Source organism: Homo sapiens, chromosome 7 (assembly GCF_000001405.40).
Source record: "Homo sapiens chromosome 7, GRCh38.p14 Primary Assembly".
Classification (NCBI taxonomy): Eukaryota; Metazoa; Chordata; class Mammalia; order Primates; family Hominidae; genus Homo; species Homo sapiens.
Genome location: NC_000007.14, coordinates 132,881,205 through 132,901,143, shown reverse-complemented (window position 1 = coordinate 132,901,143; position 19,939 = coordinate 132,881,205). Strand labels below are relative to the sequence as shown.

Sequence of the window (19,939 nt, the reverse complement as noted above, 5' to 3'; positions counted from 1 at the left end):
GAAAACTGGGATGTTGTAAAGGGCTGAGTGTTCTGTTGTACTTTCATTACCAGTGACCCATTGTGGAAGATTTCTTTAGAAAGTAATTTTTATCCCTTAAGTGATTTTCCAAATTCTATTTTTCTTTTTTTCTCTCTCTGTTTTTTGTTTTTTGAGAGGGAGGCTTGCTCTGTCGCCCAGGCTGGAGTTCAGTGGTGCTATCTCGGCTCACTGCAACGTCCGCCTCCCCGGTTCAAGCAATTCTCCTGCCTCAGCCTCCTGAGTAGCTGGGACCACAGGTGCCCACCACCACACCCAGCTAATTTTTGTTTTTTTAGTAGAGACGGGGTTTCACCATATTGGTCAGGCCGGTCTTGAACTCCTGACCTCAGGTGATCCACCCGACTTGGCCTTCCAAAGTGCTGGGTTTACAGGCCACCATGCCTAGCCTCCAAATTCTATTTTTCTTAGAATATAGTAGAGTTGCATCTTAAGGATTTAGTTTTAAAATCAGCATGTAAGGTAAACATTTCTTTTGTTCAAAATTATTCTTTTGAGTCCAGCACTGCTAGTTTTTTTTTCCATTCTGGGTCAGTAGTTTTCTTTAGTTGAGCACTAGATGAAAGTGCTGGCTTTCATTTAAAGGTTTGTGAATGAATCTTGTATAAGTTCAACCACTAGAGTTCCATTCACTGGGAAAAGATGCTCACTCTGTGAGGGTATGTGGGAGATGAGACAGATCAAGAGGAGAGCTGATGTATGCCTCCGGTCTCAGGCTTTCTTGTGGAGTAAGTGGAGCCCTGGGTACTACTGAAATTATCTCTCTCCCTCCATCACCTTGGGCAGTTGAGTTTGCATAAGTTAAATGTCCGTATGATGTAATTGTACCAGCTTCTGTAAAGAAACATAAACAGGATGAACATGCCTGATTATTGGTTAGCAGCAATGAGTTGAGGTTATTTTAGAAAAGTGGCCCCTTGCAGCCCCAATCTTACCTATTTGAGTTTGCCAGGTGGTATGAGGTTCAGGAGGCAGCCCAGCGAATATTGCTAAGGCTTAGGCTCTGTTCTAGTAGTTGCAAACCCACTGCTGGTGCCAAGTCAGGCAGAGAAGGAACGCTGCTGCCACACAGTGTCTGCCCCTGGCATCCAGGTGTCACATACACACGGTTATTTCCAAATGTTGTTTAATGTGTGCCCCTAGCATCCTAGCAGTTTGGCAGAAGAACATACACATTTATTGAATTTCCTCTGGCCTAGCTGCTTAGTAGATTCCAAATGAATAATAGAAGAAATGTTGTGGTAAATGTAACGCATGAAATGTGGGTGTTAGAGGGGTCTTAGATATTATTTAGCCTATCCTCTGAATTGTACAGATAAGAGACAGATCCAGAAAGGTGAGGTGATCTGCTATAGACCATGAGTTAGCTGCCAAGATGGAATGGAAGCTTTAATTGTCTGATGCCTATTTTGTTGCTTTTTCTACTTGATAGAACTTATGGATCAAATAGTATTCCATAAGTTCAATCGGATTTACTCTGCCTGGCCTGCATAAGTGAAGCAATTCTAAAGGGAACTGATACATACAAACACATGTAAACCTCATTCTCTGCTGGTTTACATTCTGTTTGAAGTGGAAGTTGATGTTTGCTGTCATCATTTTGTTTTGTGTTAATTAACAAATCTGATTATGTGGCGGCCATAGGAGCGTGCCCTTTAGCTCTATGTTTAAGAGAACCTGCCTCAAAGGGTGTGGTGCAGTTAGCTGACAGCATCGAGCTGCTGCACCTTTGGGATCCACCATGCGCTCTGGGGCTCCCCATCAGCCTGGCTAAGATTTTCCCAGAGCTGCGTATGATCTTCCTTCCTTCCCTCCTGTTGCTGGTGTCAGACCTGCAGCACAGTCTGAGGCTCTCCTGCTTTCTTCTGCTCCTTCTCTCCTCCACCCTTCCCACACATGCCCCCATAATCAGTCTCTTGTACTTTATGTCTTAGTGAGAGGTGACAGCGTGCTGGCAGTCCTCACAGCCCTCGCTCGCTCTCGGCGCCTCCTCTGCCTGGGCTCCCAGTTTGGTGGCACTTGAGGAGCCCTTCAGCCCACCGCTGCACTGTGGGAGCCCCTTTCTGGGCTGGCCAAGGCCAGAGCCCGCTCCCTCAGCTTGTAGGGAGGTGTGGAGGGGGAGGCGCGAGCGGGAACCGGGGCTGTGTGCGGCGCTTGCAGGCCAGCTGGAGTTCCGGGTGGGTGTGGGCTTGGCGGGCCCTGCACTCGGAGCAGCCGGCCGGCCCTGCCGGCCCCGGGCAATGAGGGGCTTAGCACCTGGGCCAGTGGCTGCAGAGGGTGTACTGGGTCCCCCAGCAGTGCCAGCCCACCGGCGCTGCGCTCGATTTCTCGCCGGGCCTTAGCTGCCTTCCCGTGGGGCAAGGCTCGGGACCTGCAGCCCGCCATGCGTGAGCCTCCCACCCGCTCCGTGGGCTCCTGTGCGGCCCGAGCCTCCTCGACGAGCGCCACCCCCTGCTCCACAGCGCCCAGTCCCATCGACCACCCAAGGGCTGAGGAGTGCGGGCGCACGGCGCGGGACTGGCAGGCAACTCCACCTGCAGCCTGGGTGCGGGATCCACTGGGTGAAGCCAGCTGGGCTCCTGAGTCTGGTGGGGATGTGGAGAACCTTTGTGTCTAGCTCAGGGTTTGTGAATGCACCAATCGACACTCTGTATCTAGCTACTCTGGTGGGGCCTTGGAGAACCTTTGTGTCCACACTCTGTATCTAGCTAATCTGATGGGGACGTGGAGAATCTTTGTGTCTAGCTCAGGGATTGTAAACGCACCAATCAGCGCCCTGTCAAAACAGACCACTCGGCTCTACCAATCAGCAGGATGTGGGTGGGGCCAGAAAAGAGAATATAAAAGCAGGCTGCCCCAGCCAGCAGTGGCAACCCGCTCGGGTCCCTTTCCACACTGTGGAAGCTTTGTTCTTTGGCTCTCTGCAATAAATCTTGCTACTGCTCACTCTTTGGGTCCACACTGCCTTTATGAGCTGTAACACTCACCGCGAAGGTCTGCAGCTTCACTCCTGAAGCCAGGGAGACCACGAGCCCACCGGGAGGAACAAACAACTCCAGACACGCCGCCTTAAGAGCTGTAACACTCACCGCGAAGGTCTGCAGCTTCACTCCTGAGCCAGCGAGACCACGAACCCGCCAGAAGGAAGAAACTCCGAACACATCTGAACATCAGAAGGAACAAACTCCGGACACGCTGCCTTTAAGAACTGTAACACTCACTGCGAGGGTCCGCGGCTTCATTCTTGAAGTCAGTGAGACCAAGAACCCACCAATTCCGGACACATTAGCATCTGCATTCCAGAAGACCTGAACCGACATAGTATACAGGTGGATTTGAAGTTATTTTTAGTGTAGTGTGCAATAATGGTTGCAGAAAATCTTTAAAAACAAATCTTTATGTTGAATAGGGCTGAAAATTGCTACAAATGTTTGATTAGTAATTTTTTACATTTTCTTCTCTTAACTTCAAGCCAGCATGAGAAGAAATAAAGTCAGAGCAATGGGAAGTACACTGCTGTCAAGAGGCAGGAGTCCCAGAACCAATTCTCTTTCTGACCTTCAAGAATTCCCTTAGCAGACAAAGAGCTTGGAGCCTCGCTTACTTCCTAGAAAATGAACTGAGTGATCTCTGGATGTTTTCTTCAGCTCTGAATGTGAAACAGATTGCAAGAAAAGAGGTTGAGTGGCCAATTGGTCCCAATAGTGTGAACATTAAGTCTAAATTTAAATTGAACAAATACAAGTTAGTACAAAGAAAAGGAATTCAGAAGTTGTGCGGTAATTGTCTCCATGTTGTTGTCCAATTTACTTGTCAGTTCACTGACACCAAATACCTTGGTGCAGATAGTGCAGTTTAACTGGCGTCTCTATGTCAGAGTGCTTCTGAGATTTTTAATCTCCATGGTAAAACAAGATTATATGTAAGTGCCTGGAAATGGAAGTTTTATTCCCCACAATATGGAATAAGAAGATAGAGATATTTGAGTATAATTGCACCTTAAGTTATGTAACTCAAAATGCTTAGTATTTCTTCCCACTCTGTACTCACAACAGCTGTGGTTTAGAGTTGAGACCACCCTGCTTTTACCAGTGATGGTAGCATTCAGTAGTTGATAACGCCAATCTGTGCTGCAGCTGCCTTTAATAGTAAAAACCCCTTCCTGCTCTAAGTCCATATAATCACACAGTTTTATAGAATATGGCCTCTTTTACCACTTTTTCCTCTTTCAGTGCTAATTCTTAGCTTTGAAGTTTTTAAGTTTGCTAGTGATACTGTGACATACAGTCCTTAATTTGTTTTATAGAATGTAGCTTTTTGGAGCTGTGTTTTATATTCAGTTGCTGAATTTGATTCACCATGGTCTTTTAGGCTTGTTAGCTGTTTATATTCACTTGTGTCTTTCATAAACATGTAGTAGCTGAAGCCATTGTCATTAGAGAAGATAAGACTGCTTGTGTTAGAATTCTGAAACCCTAGCCATTCATTTGAGTTTTGATTCAGCATTTATTTAATGTTTCTTATGGGTTGGGGATTGTGACGAGTGTTCTTGTTTTAAATGGATGTTGGGCGGAGAGCACAGAGCATATGCCACTGAACTGATGCAGTGATATGTTTCAGCACCTTTCATGTTGAAATGTCATGTTACTTTGTAACATGAAACTTGTAAGTTATAATGGAATCACAATATGCCTTGTTCTCAGGAATTATATATAAAATATTTAACAACAGGTATGGCATAGTCACTGCCCAAGCAGAACAAATGTTAAACAACCAGAACCAGTTTGTGTCAATGGAATCTCAGCCTTGCCTGATCTGAACATAAGTTAAATGGATTCAAAGTCTTATATGTGATAGAAGCTTTGATTCTAGTTTTACCAGAAGTTGTAGAAAAGAACGAGCTTTTGTACATATTTTATATATTTTCTCACTGGGGAATGATTTCATTACATTACAAAGATTTGAGCCACTCTCATTGCTTTTGTACCTTACGCCTTTGCAATTCAACCCAACCACCAGATGATAGATAACACAAGCAGACCCAACCCCAATCTACAATATGTACAGACATTTATTGAACAAAACTTTATTAGAAATCCAGTACAAAATGATTCATATGACCCGTTTTGTAAAACTCAATGAAGTTGCAGTTTTCTGTTCTTTTAAGTATTTTCTTTGCAAGAAAGTTTCACCTGAGACAGATGAGGCTTTTTGTATTTGATCTCAAACAACCAACAATCCTCTTGTAGTAGTCTGTTCTTACACTGCTAATAAAGACATACCTGAGACTGGGTAATTTATGAAGAAAAAGAGGTTTAATGGACTCACAGTTCCACATAGCTGGGGAGACCTCACAATCATGGCGGAAGGCAAAGGAAGAGCAATGTCACTTCTTACATAGTGGCAGGCAAAGAGAGCTTGTGCAGAGGAATTCCCCTTTATAAAACAATCATATCTCATGAGACTTATTCACTGTCATGAGGACAGCACAGGAAAAACCTTCCCCCATTATTCAGTTACTTCCCAGTGGGTCCCGTGCATGACACGTGGGAATTAGGGGAGCTACAATTCAAGATGAGATTTAGGTGGGGACACAGCCAAACCATATCACCTCTTAAACCTGTGGTTTTCCACAGAAGGCGATTTTGCCTCCTAGGCAACATTTCGCAATGTCTGGAGACATTTTGCTTGTCACAACTCAGAGTAGGGGGTAGTGCTGCTGGGCTGTACGGATTAGAGGCCACGAGTACTGCTAAACATTCTACAGTATGTAAGATCTGTCTCCATAACAAAGAATTATCTGGTCCAAATTGTTGATAGTGCCAAGGATGAGAATCTTTGTCTTAAACACATGGCTGGATACAGAGCTTTTTAGGGATCAATTCTGAGGTACCACTCCTACAGTAAAAGCTAGAGGCCTCATTGGATTTCTTTAACCTGTTCATGCAGCATATGTAGGAGTGTCTTTATAATATGGCAGCTAATTCTGATATCTTTGTGAGAGCTCTCATTTTACTGATAAGAACTCATATCTAACATTTATCATGCTGGTTAATGGACCATTTTCACCAATAAAATCCCATTTCCAGCAGTCATTTTGCTAATTAGCAAAACATCACTGTTGATTAAGACATGGATGACTGAAGCCCTTCTAGTAGCCTCCTACTTTTTGAGCTTCTAATAAGAATACTTGCTGATTGCTCCTGGATTGTGCATTCCTGAGTAACATGCTGGCAGCACCTAATTCAGAGCTTACATAATAATGTACATACATAATAATGTACACATAAAATCACACTGTATATCATGTGGTAGTTTGAACTAAATCGTAGACATTAGGACAGATTTCCTTCCCAGAAGCTGTACCTACTTACTTTGTACAAACTCTTGCCCTCAGTGCAGTTCATTTGATTCAGCTACTGTGTACTGAGTGTTTCCTTGTGGAAAGTACAGATCTAGCTTGAGCCAAAGATACAGGCAGAGAGGAGGAAAGCCCTTCTCTTGTCTCAGAGAGTTTACAGTTAAGGAGAGGAGTAGTGGGTAAGTAAGCATGTATCATACAAGGTAAAAGCAAAAACAAGTGCCATAGGAAACATATTGAAAGGTTTTATTAGCTGCAAAAGTAGGAGAAGCAGCTAGGGTATGACTTGGCAAAGACTCTGGAAGTAATATCCAAGAGTGGTTTGGAACATGGGTGCAGGGCTGGGTCAGTGCATGGTGATGTGGTGATTCCGAAGAGTCAACATGGGCACCCAAGTCTTCTGTCTCCTCACTGAGTTTCTTACTGTGTCATAGTGCTAATAACATCCAAATTATGAAATAAAACTAGAAAACTGGAGGAGTAAATGTATAGTTTACAATTGTTCCCTCTCTCTCAAGCTATAGAAGAAAGTTTATAAAATTGGTTCTAATTTCATCCAGCACTGCATTTTGCTTCTTTTGTTAAGCGCTATGATATACATAAAAGTTATGAGAGAACTTCTGGGATAATTTAAAGCAAAACACCACCAGATCACTTTCTATTCAAAATTTGTGTACTCCAACAACCTCCTGTCTTTATTCAATGTTGGCTTTACTTTTTAATTTCAAAAATCATTCATTTTTGGCTCTGCATTCTTATTTAAGAGAATAGCAGATATACTTTTGCATTAGTCCATTTTCACACTGCTATAAAGAAATACCCGAGACTGGGTAGTTTATAAAGGAAAGAGGTTTAATTGTCTCACAATTTCACATGGCTGAGGAGGCCTCAGGAACCTTACAATCATAGCAGAAGGCAAAGGGGAAGCAGGCACCTTTTTTACAAGGTGGCAGGAGAAAGAGCCTGTGAAAGAGAAACCTTCAGACACTTACAGAACCATCAGATCTCATGAGAGCTTGCTCTTGATCACTGGAACTGCTCGTGGGAAACCGCCCCCATGATCCAACCACTTCCCACCAGGTCTGTCCCTTGACACGTGGAGATTATGGAGATTACAGTTTGAGATGAAATTTGGGTAGGGACACAGAGCCAAACCATGTCATTCCACCCTGGCCCCTGCCAAATATAAGATTCTTTTTACATTTCAAAATTAATCAGGCCTTCCTCACAGTCCCCCAGAGTCTTAACTCATTCAAGCATTAACCCAAAAGTCCAAGTCCAAAGTCTCATTTGAGACAAGGAAAGTCCCTTCTATGTAGGAGCCTGTAAAATCAAAAGTAAGTAAGTTACTTCCAAGATAAAGTGGGGGTACTGGCATTGGGTAAGCGCTCTCATTCCAAATCAGAGAAATTGGCCAAAATAAGGAGGCTACAGGCCCCACGCAAGTCTGAAATCCAGCAGGGCAGTCATGAAGTCTTAAAGCTCTAAAATAATCTCCTTTGACTCCATGTCTCATGTCTAGTTCACCCTCATGCAAGAGGTGGGCTCCCATGGCCTTAGATAGCTTCGCCCCTGTGTTTTTGCAGGGTACTGCCCCCATGCTGCTCTCATGGGCTGGCATTGAGTGCCTGTGACGTTTCCAGGTGCACTGTGCAAGCTGTCAGTGGATCTACCATTCTGGGGTCTAGAGGACAGTGGCCCTCTTCTCACAGGTCCACTAGGCAGTGCCCCAGTAGGGACTCTGCGTGGGGGCTCCAACCCCCCATTTCCCTTCTGCACTGCCCTAGCAGAGGTTCTTCATGAGGGCTTTGCCCCTGCAGCAGACTTCTGCCTGGATATCCAGGCTTTTCCATACATCCTCTGAAATCTAGGTGGAGGTTCGCAAACCTCAATTCTTGACTTCTGTGCGCCTGCAGGCCCAACATCACATGAAAGCTGCTAAGGCTTGGGGCTTGCACCCTCTGAAGCAGTGGCCTGAGCTATACCTTGGCCTCTTTTAGCCACGGCTAGAGCTGGAGCTGCTGGGACTCAGGGCACCAAGTCCTGAGGCTGCACACAGCAGCAGTGCCCTGGGTCTGGTCCAGGCAACCGTTTTTCCTTCCTAGGCCTCTGGACCTACGATGGGAGGGGCTTCTGTGAAGTCCTCTGACATGCCCTGGAGACATTTTCCCCATTGTCTTGGTGATTAACATTCAGCTCCTTGTTAATCTTACAAATCTTTGCAGCTGGCTTGAATTTCTCCCCAGAAAAATAGGTTTTTCTTTTCTACCACATGGTCAGGCTGCCAATTTTCCAAACTTTTATGCCCTGCTTCCCTTTTAAACATAAGTTCCAATTTCACATCATCTCTCTCAAGTTCAAAGTTTCACAGTTCTCTAGGGTAGGGGCAAAATGCCACCAGTGTCTTTGCTAAAGCATAGCAAGTGTCACCTTTGCTCCAGTTCCCAGTAAGTTCCTCATATCTATCTTGAGACCACCTCAGCCTGGACTTCATTGTCCATATCACTATCAGCATTTTGGTCAAAACCGTTCAACAAGTCTCTCAGAAGTTCCAGACTTTCCCATATCTTCCTTTCATCTTCTGAGATCTCCAAATTGTCCCAACGTCTGTCCATTACCCAGTTCCAAACTTGCTTCCACATTTTCTGTATCTTTATAGCAGTGCCCCACTACCTTGGTACCAGTTAACTGTATTATTTCATTTTCACACTGCTATAAAGATACTACCCAAGAGTAGTTAATTTATAAAAGAAAGAGATTTAATTAACTCACAGTTACGCTTCCTGGGAAGGCCTCAGGAAACTTACAATCATGGTGGAAGGCAAAGGGAAAGCAGGAACCTTCTTCACACGGCAAGCCAGAGAGTGAAAGAGCATGTGAAGGAGGAACCGTCAAATGCTTATAAAACCATCAGATCTTGTGAGCACCCACTCACTATCACAAGAATAGCAGGGGGAACCTCCCCCATTATCCATTCACCTCCCATCTGGTCCATCCCTCAACATGTGGGGATTATGGGGATTACAGTTCAAGATAAGATTTGGGTGCAGACACAGAGCCAAACCATATCATACCCCAAGGTGGCAAAGGACATGATCAGTTGGCTGTTTTCTGTATGTTATTAGTATGAAGAAACTTAAAATGTCGATCAGGGCTCTTGAAACTCTGAGAAGGGGAAGACAAAACAAGCACCAAAACCAGCTGCCTTGATCTAATCCTGGGTGCTTGGGTTTGAGTTCCAGACTTCAGATTAGGAAGTCTATTGGAAGAATGGGCTTTTGTATTTCATCTCTCTGGTCTATGTTCACCTTATATTAGGTGTTATAGTGTTAGTGGACATCAGTGCAGTTTAACATTTCCAGCTGGGATCTGCTTATAGCTGATGTTTATGCCTCCAAATAGTCATTGAAAAGTATGATAATAGGTTGGACATCATTTAAGTTCACCTAGGTGAGTTACCCTACTGAAGGTCACCCTCTGATATGGTTTGGAAAACAGTGCTGGAAGTATAATACTTTGTGTATTAATGCCACTTGGTAAAGACTCATTGAACCCTATGTAATTTCTCCTAACAAAAGCCTAGAATTCAATTAATTGAATACATGGCTACTTTAATTATTCTGTTAACAGCTAATTGATATTCACAGTGATCATGTTTTACAGCTTCTAAATGCAATATTACCTTACAAGTTTATGGTTCGGCCTCCTTTGATATTTCAGTTCTTTTTCTGTTTTATGTCAGCATATAATTTTCTTAGGTTCGTATATATTGCACCTCATATGTAGTTTTGACAAGAAATAAAGCTCTTTTTCCTACTCTTATTTGCTCATCTGCCTATGTGAGTTGTAAAACAGATTTTGCCTACCATAGATTATCCATATTATAGTGAAAGATTAGTCTTTCTCAGTTCTTTATATGTATGCTTCAGATTGTTAAAAGATTTAGAATGAAAGGATATATGGTTACAGGGATGTCCTGTTTATATTGTTAAGAGAGTTGTTGCCTTTTCTAAATCCTAGTAATCTCTGGCTTCATAGTCTTATCTCATGGAAAGTTGAGTAGGTACCTGCTTTGTTTTTTACCCTGAGCTATTAAAAATGGAATACTGACATTTCAAGGAACTTTGTCATTTAAAATATACAAGCTTTGCCCATAGCACAGAACCTTGCCTTAAAATGCCTTGTGCTTGATATACAAAGTAACAGTACATTATCTGTGCTAAGTGGTTGTGTTGTCACCGAGTTCCCAATGCCATGCAGTTGGTGCCACACTTGAGTCCCCAGGAGCAACCAGGGCTAAAAGGGCGTAGTAATGCCGAAAAGTGTGTGCTATGAAGATTTAGCCTGGACTATTCATGGGAAGGTAAAGTTTCTATCAGCCCAGTATGTTATATTCATAATCCCAGTTTTCTCTTGTATAAACTTTATTATAGCCTTTGTTGTAAAGCCCCTTCAAGTCTATTCTGAAAAGAGACAAGTCTTTAAGGAAGTAAACATACGTACTTCACTTTTAATCTAGCTATCAACACCAAGTTAAGACATCAAAATGTTCGTGTTGGGTTCCTTAAACTTGATTTCCATATTTTCTTTGTTTCTCTTGAATTATAGGATATTCTAGTTTTCCATAATGATCCACTTAAGTACATTGTGTCACATTTTCCAGCCCAGTTACGTTATCCCGAATCTGGCAAGATCTGAAAACTATTCAATACATATTTCTTCTAGGAATAGCAAATAGTAGATGGGGAAAAATGTTTTATATTATTTTTTCCCAAGATATGGTTCTATATCAATAAATAATGTTGTAGTCCTCTTTGTTTTTATTTGTTCATTTACAGTGATTCTCTGTTAGAGAGCTCTACGGAGTTTCATTTCCTTGCAGTAGGTTTACTACTTTTTTAAAGTTGAATGTGACTCTCCATCCTCAGCAGCTATTAGCTTAGTCAATGTATTCTAGGCTTATTTAAGTTTCAGGATTCATATCGTGTGACTTTTCCTCCTAGCATCATATTAACTGTTTCAAAGCAATGTGCTATTAAAGTGTTGTGGCCATGTTTCTTACTTTGTTATTCTTCCCAGTGGATCTCAAACTATTGATTCTGTTTGCAATCCAGGGAAAGATGTGTGCTGCTGGCCTATAACTTGGTGGTGTTGGGTCTTAGGAAATATTGCCCTCTTTGGTCTTTAGTGTACACATCTGAGCTTTGGACATGTTATTTTAAACTTTTTCAAGGATCATATCTTAGAAAAGTGAGTGAGCATATAGCTGTACACCCTTTATTTAGGTTGTAATCAGCTCTTCAAAATTAAATTTGTTGATTGATGCGGTGTCCTCAGCAGGCTCAAGTGTTGAATTCTCTTAGTGTTTTCTAAATAATGATAATGGAATATCCATTATGATTTTTTTTGCATTTTAAAAAATCTCACTTTGTGAACAAAGGGAACATTACCTAGTATGAGTGTTTTAATAGCCAGGGTAGATAATGCCATACATTGAATGGGGGAGAAAACCAGGTGCTGATACATTCAGGATTTAGTAGGTAATACAATTTCCATGCTATCTATAACTGTTCAAGTTGTTAAATTTTTTGAATTGTTAATATAATTATTTAATAGGTTCACTCTTTTAGATGCCCTCAGTGCTACATTTCCATCTCATAGTCAAGTGTAAACATATGGAATATTGATGTTTAAAAGATTTTTTCTGATCACAGAAGTACTAACTGTTCATTATAGGAAATAAGAAACAGTCCAAATAATATATCCCACTACATATATCATAACTACTATAACATCTTACCATACTTTACACTTTTTTCCATGTCCATATAAACAAGTACTCAACCTTCTCTGTCCCTCCCTTCTGCTCCTCCCTCCCCCATTTCTCATGCAAAATTAGGAGCTTAGGGCACATGCTATTTTATGACGTGTTTTTTTTCTCACTTAATATTTTGAGTTTTAAAAAATTAATTTTCTGTTACGATATCAGCTTTCAAGGACTCTTACTGTTTGATTATATGGCTGGATCAAAATCTTTATAATCAATATCCTATTGTCAGATTATATCTTATTTACCCAAACATCTATTGTTCACTCTTAGTTGTTGCTTTAAATAATGCTGGTTGCATTTTCTTAGATGTAAATACTCTTATATTTTAATATTTGCTAGGATTGAATGCCTGGAAGTGAAATTGGCCACATAAGAAGATTAATGATAATAATGATTTATACACACATTCACACATTTATAGTTATTATTATAAATTTTAGTATACTTAATTTATATTCATTTTTAAAATTTATGTAGTTAAATTCATTCTTTCTGATATACAGTTCTATGAGTTTTGACAAGTGCATGTAATTATATAACCGCCACCACAATCAAGAAACATATTCATTTGCTCACCTTAAAAAATTTCTTCCTTTTGCCCCTTGACTATAAAGTATGTTTCTTTTTAATTCTGAACATATAAAGAAGCAAAAATAAGAAAATAGATACCGCCCATAAGTCTACCAGTCTGCTGTAACCTCTGTTGACATTTTGTAAAATATCCTTCTGCTTTTTTGTTTGTTTTTGTTTTTTTATTTTTGTTTTTTCTCTTCGTCTTCCTTACAAAAAAAGAGGTTATACTGCCTTTATATAGCTTTTTTTCTTTTTTCTTTTTTAAGTGGTATACTTTGAGTACATATTTCATTTAGCCATTGGATTGGTTTGTTTTTATTTCTCTGCAATTCTAAACAACCTTGTAATGAAGTTTAAACAACCCTATAATGAATATCTTTGCATATAGTACTTGAGTACCATAAGTAGAGTTTTTAGATCTGGTACATAGGTATATTTTAAAGACTTGTTAATTTTATCCAGTTGATTTATAAAATGGGTATACCAATTTATATTCTGACCAGCAGTGTATAGGAGAGCCTATTTTCTTATATCCTTGCCAATATTGAGTATTTTTATTTTACATTTTTGTTAATTGGTAGATGAATAATGACACCATATTACCTTAATTGGTATTATCTGATTTGATGTGGGGTTGGGTTTTTCTCATGTGTTTATTATTTGTATTTTTCGTGTGTTGATTTCTAGTTTATTTGTGTATATTTCTTTTGTTGTTTTTCGGTGGGGAGAGGAGTGGGGGATGAGGCTTCTTTTTTCAGTGCTCTATATGTTAATAACATTAACTCTCCCAGTTACATGTTGGGATTTCTTTTCCTGTTTTTGTTACTTGCTTCTTCTTTGGATTTTATAATGCTTTTGTTTTATGCAGTTTCTTATGAGTCTATTCTTTTTCATTTTCTTTATTTATATTTTGGGTTTTTATGTTGAATTTAAAGAGGTCTTTTCTCTTTAGATTATGTAGTCATGTATATTAGATTTGAAATTCATTTACTTTTTGTTTCATATTCTTAACAGTCTAATAAAATTTTTACTATGTTGTACCAGGGAGCCATAGATTATATACTTGTATATGAATGTACTTTAATCTAATCTTAACATTGTATTTGTTTTTATTTATTCATATGCTTCCAAGCAGCATGTACTTTTCATTGAAATCTTCTATTCAAACTGTAACAGCATAGTGACATTAAAATGTGTCTCAAGTTAAGCATTTCCTTTTTATTTTTTCTCCATTACCTTCTTTGGCTTGCATTTTAAATATTATCCATCAGATTTTGTGTGTGTGTGAAATTAGGAAAAAACAGTACTTATGTTGTTAAATAACTGTTTATTTTATTTTTAACATGCTGCAGGATATTGAAGACAAAGTAAGTAGCAAAACAATAACCTATAAATGTGCAAGTAGTTCACCTAAACTAAGCAGATAGTTGAGTAGACAGGCACCTTGACATCTGAAACAGACAATACTTGATCATTTAGCAAAAGAATTTTGGTGAAATAGCACAAGGATGGGAATGCCTAAATATATACTTGTTAATGGATGGCTGGATGCATACAATTAAAGAAATGTATACACTTTACATATTAAAAGTAATATATATACTTTGTTTATTAAAAGATACACACAAAAATATATATATCTATATATAGTGTGTGTGTATATATATGTATATATACACACATATATACATATATACACATATATATACACACACACACTTTCTTATAAGTTGTAGTCAGGCATATATTCAGCATTCACTGAGCAAAAAATATGTTGAAAACAAAATCTAACTCAGAGTGATATAGGAAAGTCTCATCCCTCAGAGATAAAGGCCAATTAAACATAATATTCAAGATACCAACATTAGTTTAAGAAATGCATTTTTTTTTACAAATCTTGAAAAATATCGGTAAGTAGCCATCTTCATCATTGTTTAAAGAACCAAAAATATTATACTTGTTTTGATTTTGTTTTAAAAAATCTTGTAAATTGAAAGTACAATAACTAAAGCTTTTAAAATTACTTTTAAATATGGTTATTTATTATGATTATTTTGAATTATTGAAATAAACAATTATGGTAGTTTTTGTTTCCACTCTTCCATAACAATTAATTCTTTACATAAAGGGAAATAGAACAATGTATGTATTTATTTGCAGGTAATTAACTGTTCTTAAACACAAGATTTATGTACAAAATGTTATTTAGGCATTACTTTTTTGTTCAAAAAAGAGCCATGTATCTTATGCCCAGGATAAAATTAAAGTTTCATTGTACAAAATATTAATCCTTGAAATTACTCTTTGATAGGGAAGTTAAATAAGAGTCTGTTATGTGCTGTATTCTGACGTTTCCTAATATATTTGGACAAAATAGGACACAGCTGTTACAGCGGGAAAAAAAATACAATGCGGACTTCTTCTTTACATTTAAATACAGCAATCATCATCTTAATGTTTTTCTATGGCAGAGACCTAATAGATTGCAAAAATCTTCAGATTTGTATTCTTATTTCTAATGCAATTTATTCTTGACTTTTGCTTTGCTGTTGCTGCTTTTTCTTGATATAGTATATTCCTCATTTCTTTTTTTAGGCTAGGCAGCTGGAAGAGAAAGACCGAGTGCTAAAGAAGCAGGATGCATTCTACAAAGAACAGCTGGCTAGACTGGAGGAGAGGGTATGACTATTTTTTATCATTGATTCTATTACCACATCTGCTGTTTTCTTGTATATTTATTTAAAAATTAATAAATTAGAACTTCAACTGCTTTTCCTGGTTGTAAAGTGGCCAGGAAGTGAAGAAGCAAAGCAGGTAGTTAGTTCGTCCTCTGTAACAATGTCATTTTTTCTTTGGTCACTTTGGAATGGTTGCGTTATTTGTTCACTGATGCATTTTACCACTTGGGACCTACCGCAAATACTTTTCTTATATGTTTAGAATCTACATAGCCTCCAGGTCAGACAGTACACTGCTACTCTTATCTCTCCCAGACATTGACTAAACTTTAGTACACTCTTAAAAATGGTAGTGTTTTAAAGGATATATTTATCTTCTTTTATCTTTTCTTTTTTTGCTTTTTTCTTTTTGAAATGGAATCTCACTCTGTCGCCCAGACTGGAGTCTAGTGGCATGATCTTGGTTCACTGCAACCTCCACCTACCAGGTTCAAGTGATTCCCATGCCTTAGCCTCCTGAGTAGCTGGAATTACAGGCATGCACCACCATGCCTGGCTGATTTTTGTATTTTTATTAGAGACAGGGTTTCACCATGTTGGCCATGCTGGTCTTGAGCTCCTGGCCTCAAGTCATCTGCCTCCCTCAGCCTCCCAAAGTGCTAGGATTACAGGCATGAGCCACTGCACCTGGCAGGATATATCTTCTTTCTGAAAACTCAGTTTCACTGCATTTGTAGTTTAGAAATGAATGTCTCCTTCAGGAGAGGTAGATAGGAGCTGAATAGCAGAAGTTAAACATGAGTTAGGAGAAGGAAAAGAGATACGGCGTCAAGTCAGCATGGGTCTAGAATTGGACAGAGATGGACAAAAGAAGGCAGTGAGTTTAAGAATGAGAGTTTGAGCACCTTATCAGTGCCCTTTTCAATAAAGTAGATTGGTTATCTAGATTAATTTCATACATAGACCATGAGGTTGCAGAGTAAGCTCTCTCTCTTTTGAATGAAACCCTCCAAATTTTATTTGTTGAAAATGTTATTTGATAAGAAAATAGGAAAAAATAAGAAATACACTATTAACCCTCACTCAGTACAGTTATGTATATGTTAAATGTGTTTGCTGTCTCCATATGTTACCGAACTGAGTACCTCTTGAATGTAGGGAGCATTTTCTCATTCATGTAGCAGATATTTACTTAAGCACCCTGGTCTTGTGCCAGCAGCTATGTACTAGTGAAGAAAATGAGGTAAACATCTGTCTTCATGGAGCTTAAATTCAATTAAAACCAGAATACATATTGTATGGCAGGTTATGATAATTTCGGGAGGAATAAAATGGGAAAAGAGAGTCCCAGGGCTGGGGTTTAGGCATGGAGTTGGGTACAGAGGGAAGAACTCTCTGTTGAGATGACATTTGGGAAGAGGCCTATGGTAATAGGGAAGCAAGCCATTGCCAAAACCGTGAAGCAGGCGTGAACTTGGCATGTTTGGGAAGGCTGGGGGGTTTGGGAGCAGATGAACCCTCTGGCTGCTGTGTTGGGCAAGAGTTGAAGCAACAGAGAATTAGTAAGAAATTACGGCAGTAATTCGGAAAAGGGATGACTGGTGTGGGTCTGAGTGCCGACAGGGGAAGTAATGAAATGTGGTTCGGTATTTTAAAGGTAGAGCTGACCAGATTTGCTGATGGCTTTGAACATGAGTGAAGAAAGAATAAACTCTAGGTTTATGGCTTTTATAACTAGAAGGTTTTTCCACAGGTGAAGATTCTTAAGATATGGATTGGGATGTTGGTGGTGGAGGAAATCAGGAGTTTGATTGTGGATATGTTAAGCTCAGGACACTTAAGACATTGAAGTAGAGATGTTGAATAGGCATAAAGTGAAATGGTTTAGAGAATGTCAGTAATTTTTCCTGTAAAGGGCTGGATAGTAAATATTTTAGGCTTTGCACACCACATTTGGTTTCTGTGCAGCTCCCCACCTCTGCCTTTGTAATGTGGAATCAGAGAAAGCCAACTGTAAATGAATGAGTGTGGCTCTGTTCTAATTGAAAGACCCTGAAGTATGAAGCTCATATAGTTTTCACACATCACAAAATTTTGCTTAAATTTTTTTCCAACCACTTAAAAATGTAAAACCAAAAACAGGTACTGGGCCTGATTTGGCTCCCTCGTTGTAGTGGGCAGAACTCTGATTTAGAGCACAAGGCTCTGATGTCAGATGCCTTGGATTCAAATTTCTGACCTGGCATTTCCCTGCTGTGTAATGTGGAGCATCTTATTTTTCCTCTCAGTTGTTTCATATATTAAGTGATGATTTAATAGTACTTACCTCACTTGTTAAATGAGCTAATACTCATAAAGCACCTGTAATAGTATGTAGCACAGAGTAACCATTCACCCACTAATTGTTTTACTTCTATACCTAGAGCATTGTACATGGCTTAGAGTTTGTATTAGTCTGTTTTCTCACTGCTATAATGAGCTGCTTGAGACTGGGTAATTTATGAAGGGAAGAAGTTTAATTGACCCACAGTTCTCCATGGCTAGGGAGGCCTCAGGAAACTTACAATTACGGCAGAAGGTGAAAGGGAAGCAGGCACCTTTTTCACATGGTGGCAGGAGAGAGAGAGCGTGCAGGGGAAACTACTTTTAAACCATCAGATCTGAGAACTCTCTCACTTATCACAAGAACAGCCTGGGGAAACCACACCCATGATCCAGTTACCTCCCACCAGGTCCCTCCCTCAACATGTGGGTATCACAATTCAAGATGAGATTTGGGTGCAGACACAGAGCCAAACCATATCAGAGTTAGTAAATGTTAAATGAGTGAAAGTGAAAGTTTTTGAGGTGATATACTTGGCACCTGCTTTTCCTCACCCAATGACAGTTTTCTTTGTCATCAGGTTTTACTATGTTAGGTACCTTATAAACTTGCCTTTAATTATTGTCAGGTTCAAGAAAAGGCACTGAAAAATATTCTCCCATTTCTCATAGACTCACCAATTTGATTGGTACAAACGTCTGAGAAGATTTGTTTCTGGCAGATTGAACTTATCTGCTCAACAACTGCTCAACAAATAAACTGTTAGGCTTTTTGGCACCAAGTAGAACAAGTGGTAGAAGATTAGATAGACACGATATGATAAGATCAAATTATTGTGAATATATATATATATATATATATATATATATATATATATAGAATATATTGTTTTCCTTTTTGAAGATCAGCCTGGGAAGTGGTCATCCTACAGTTGAAACTGAAATCTGAGAAGCACCAGTGAGCTTAGAAAGCTAAGGTGGAATATATACACTGCTGTTACTTAATACTCGATAACTCCACATTAAGTAAAAGAAAGAATGTTAGACAAGGAGTCAGAAGGTATGCTTTTGTCATGTGGCTGTTCGGCAATTCACCTAATCCCTTGTGGTGTCTGGTTCTTTATCTGCAAAATGGGGATATACTCTGTTCCTTGCTCATCTTCATGGTGATTGGGGGTAGATCAGATGAGTGTGTAAAAGCCCCTTGAAAGCTGGAAAGAGCTTAACAAATATCAGCTGTTGCCATGAAAGAATATTTGCTTACTTTCCATTGTGTATAAGATAACGATAATCATAGAATTAATATTATTCAACTTCCTTGTGTCTTTTGCACATTTCTGTACAGTCCTGTTTTTGTTTGTTACTGTCATTCTCAAAGTACTCAAGTTGAATTTTGTCACTTTGGATTTCTTCCAGGAATATGTGAGAGACATTTAGGTCTCTAATGATGAAGTATTTTCTAGGCGTAATGCAAAAGATTGTAAAGAGATTTTCTTCTGTATTGTGATGGCAGTGAGAATTACAATGTCTAACTATTTCTATTAGGAATTCTGCACACACTTTTGTATTAGACAGTGTAAAAATGCTGAATCCATTAATTCGTATTGTAAGAAATGATTCTAATATTAATATAATTTGCAGAATCATCTAACTTACTAGGAAATCCAGGTTGCCTGTGGTTTAAAAGTGGACATAAGCACATATCTTTTCCTCTTTTAACTAAATGAAGTGATGAAACTATAAAGTAGATACCAGATGGTGTATCATTAATGGAGAGGGATGTTGCATCAACGAGTCTTTTACAGAATCATTCTGAGGGAGATTCCTGAGATAACCTTACCATCTGCGCATCAACTAGATTAACACAGCAATTGTACACGTTATCACTTTTTGATGACTTGAACTATTCATTTATATTGGCTTGATGCAGATTTCTTTTGAGAGTATGAATCAAAGTGCACTGAACATGTGAAGTACATTTAGTTCTGTAATACAGCTTGATTTGCCTCTTGGATCTATTTCAATAAACTGCTTGTTAATTAGATAATTCCCATGTGTGAATGGAACTCCCTCTACCCAGGTATTTATATTGGCCACTTCACCCAGGAGTCTGATATAATTTTCTTCTTTCACTAA

General features: G+C 39.2%; 1 protein-coding gene across 4 annotated transcripts in view; it reads left to right on the top strand.

Annotated features, from left to right (window-relative positions):
* Window positions 1–19,939, top strand: part of CHCHD3 (coiled-coil-helix-coiled-coil-helix domain containing 3) — a 297,221-nt gene that overhangs the window by 180,947 nt on the left and 96,335 nt on the right. For 2 of the 4 annotated variants that reach the window (NM_001317177.2, XM_047420549.1), the window contains 2 exons: window positions 14,156–14,170; window positions 15,399–15,482. In NM_001317177.2, the coding sequence (NP_001304106.1) occupies window positions 14,156–14,170; window positions 15,399–15,482 (99 nt within the window). The remainder of the gene's footprint in view (window positions 1–14,155; window positions 14,171–15,398; window positions 15,483–19,939) is intronic. The other 2 variants (NR_133671.2, NM_017812.4) reach the window with 1 other exon arrangement.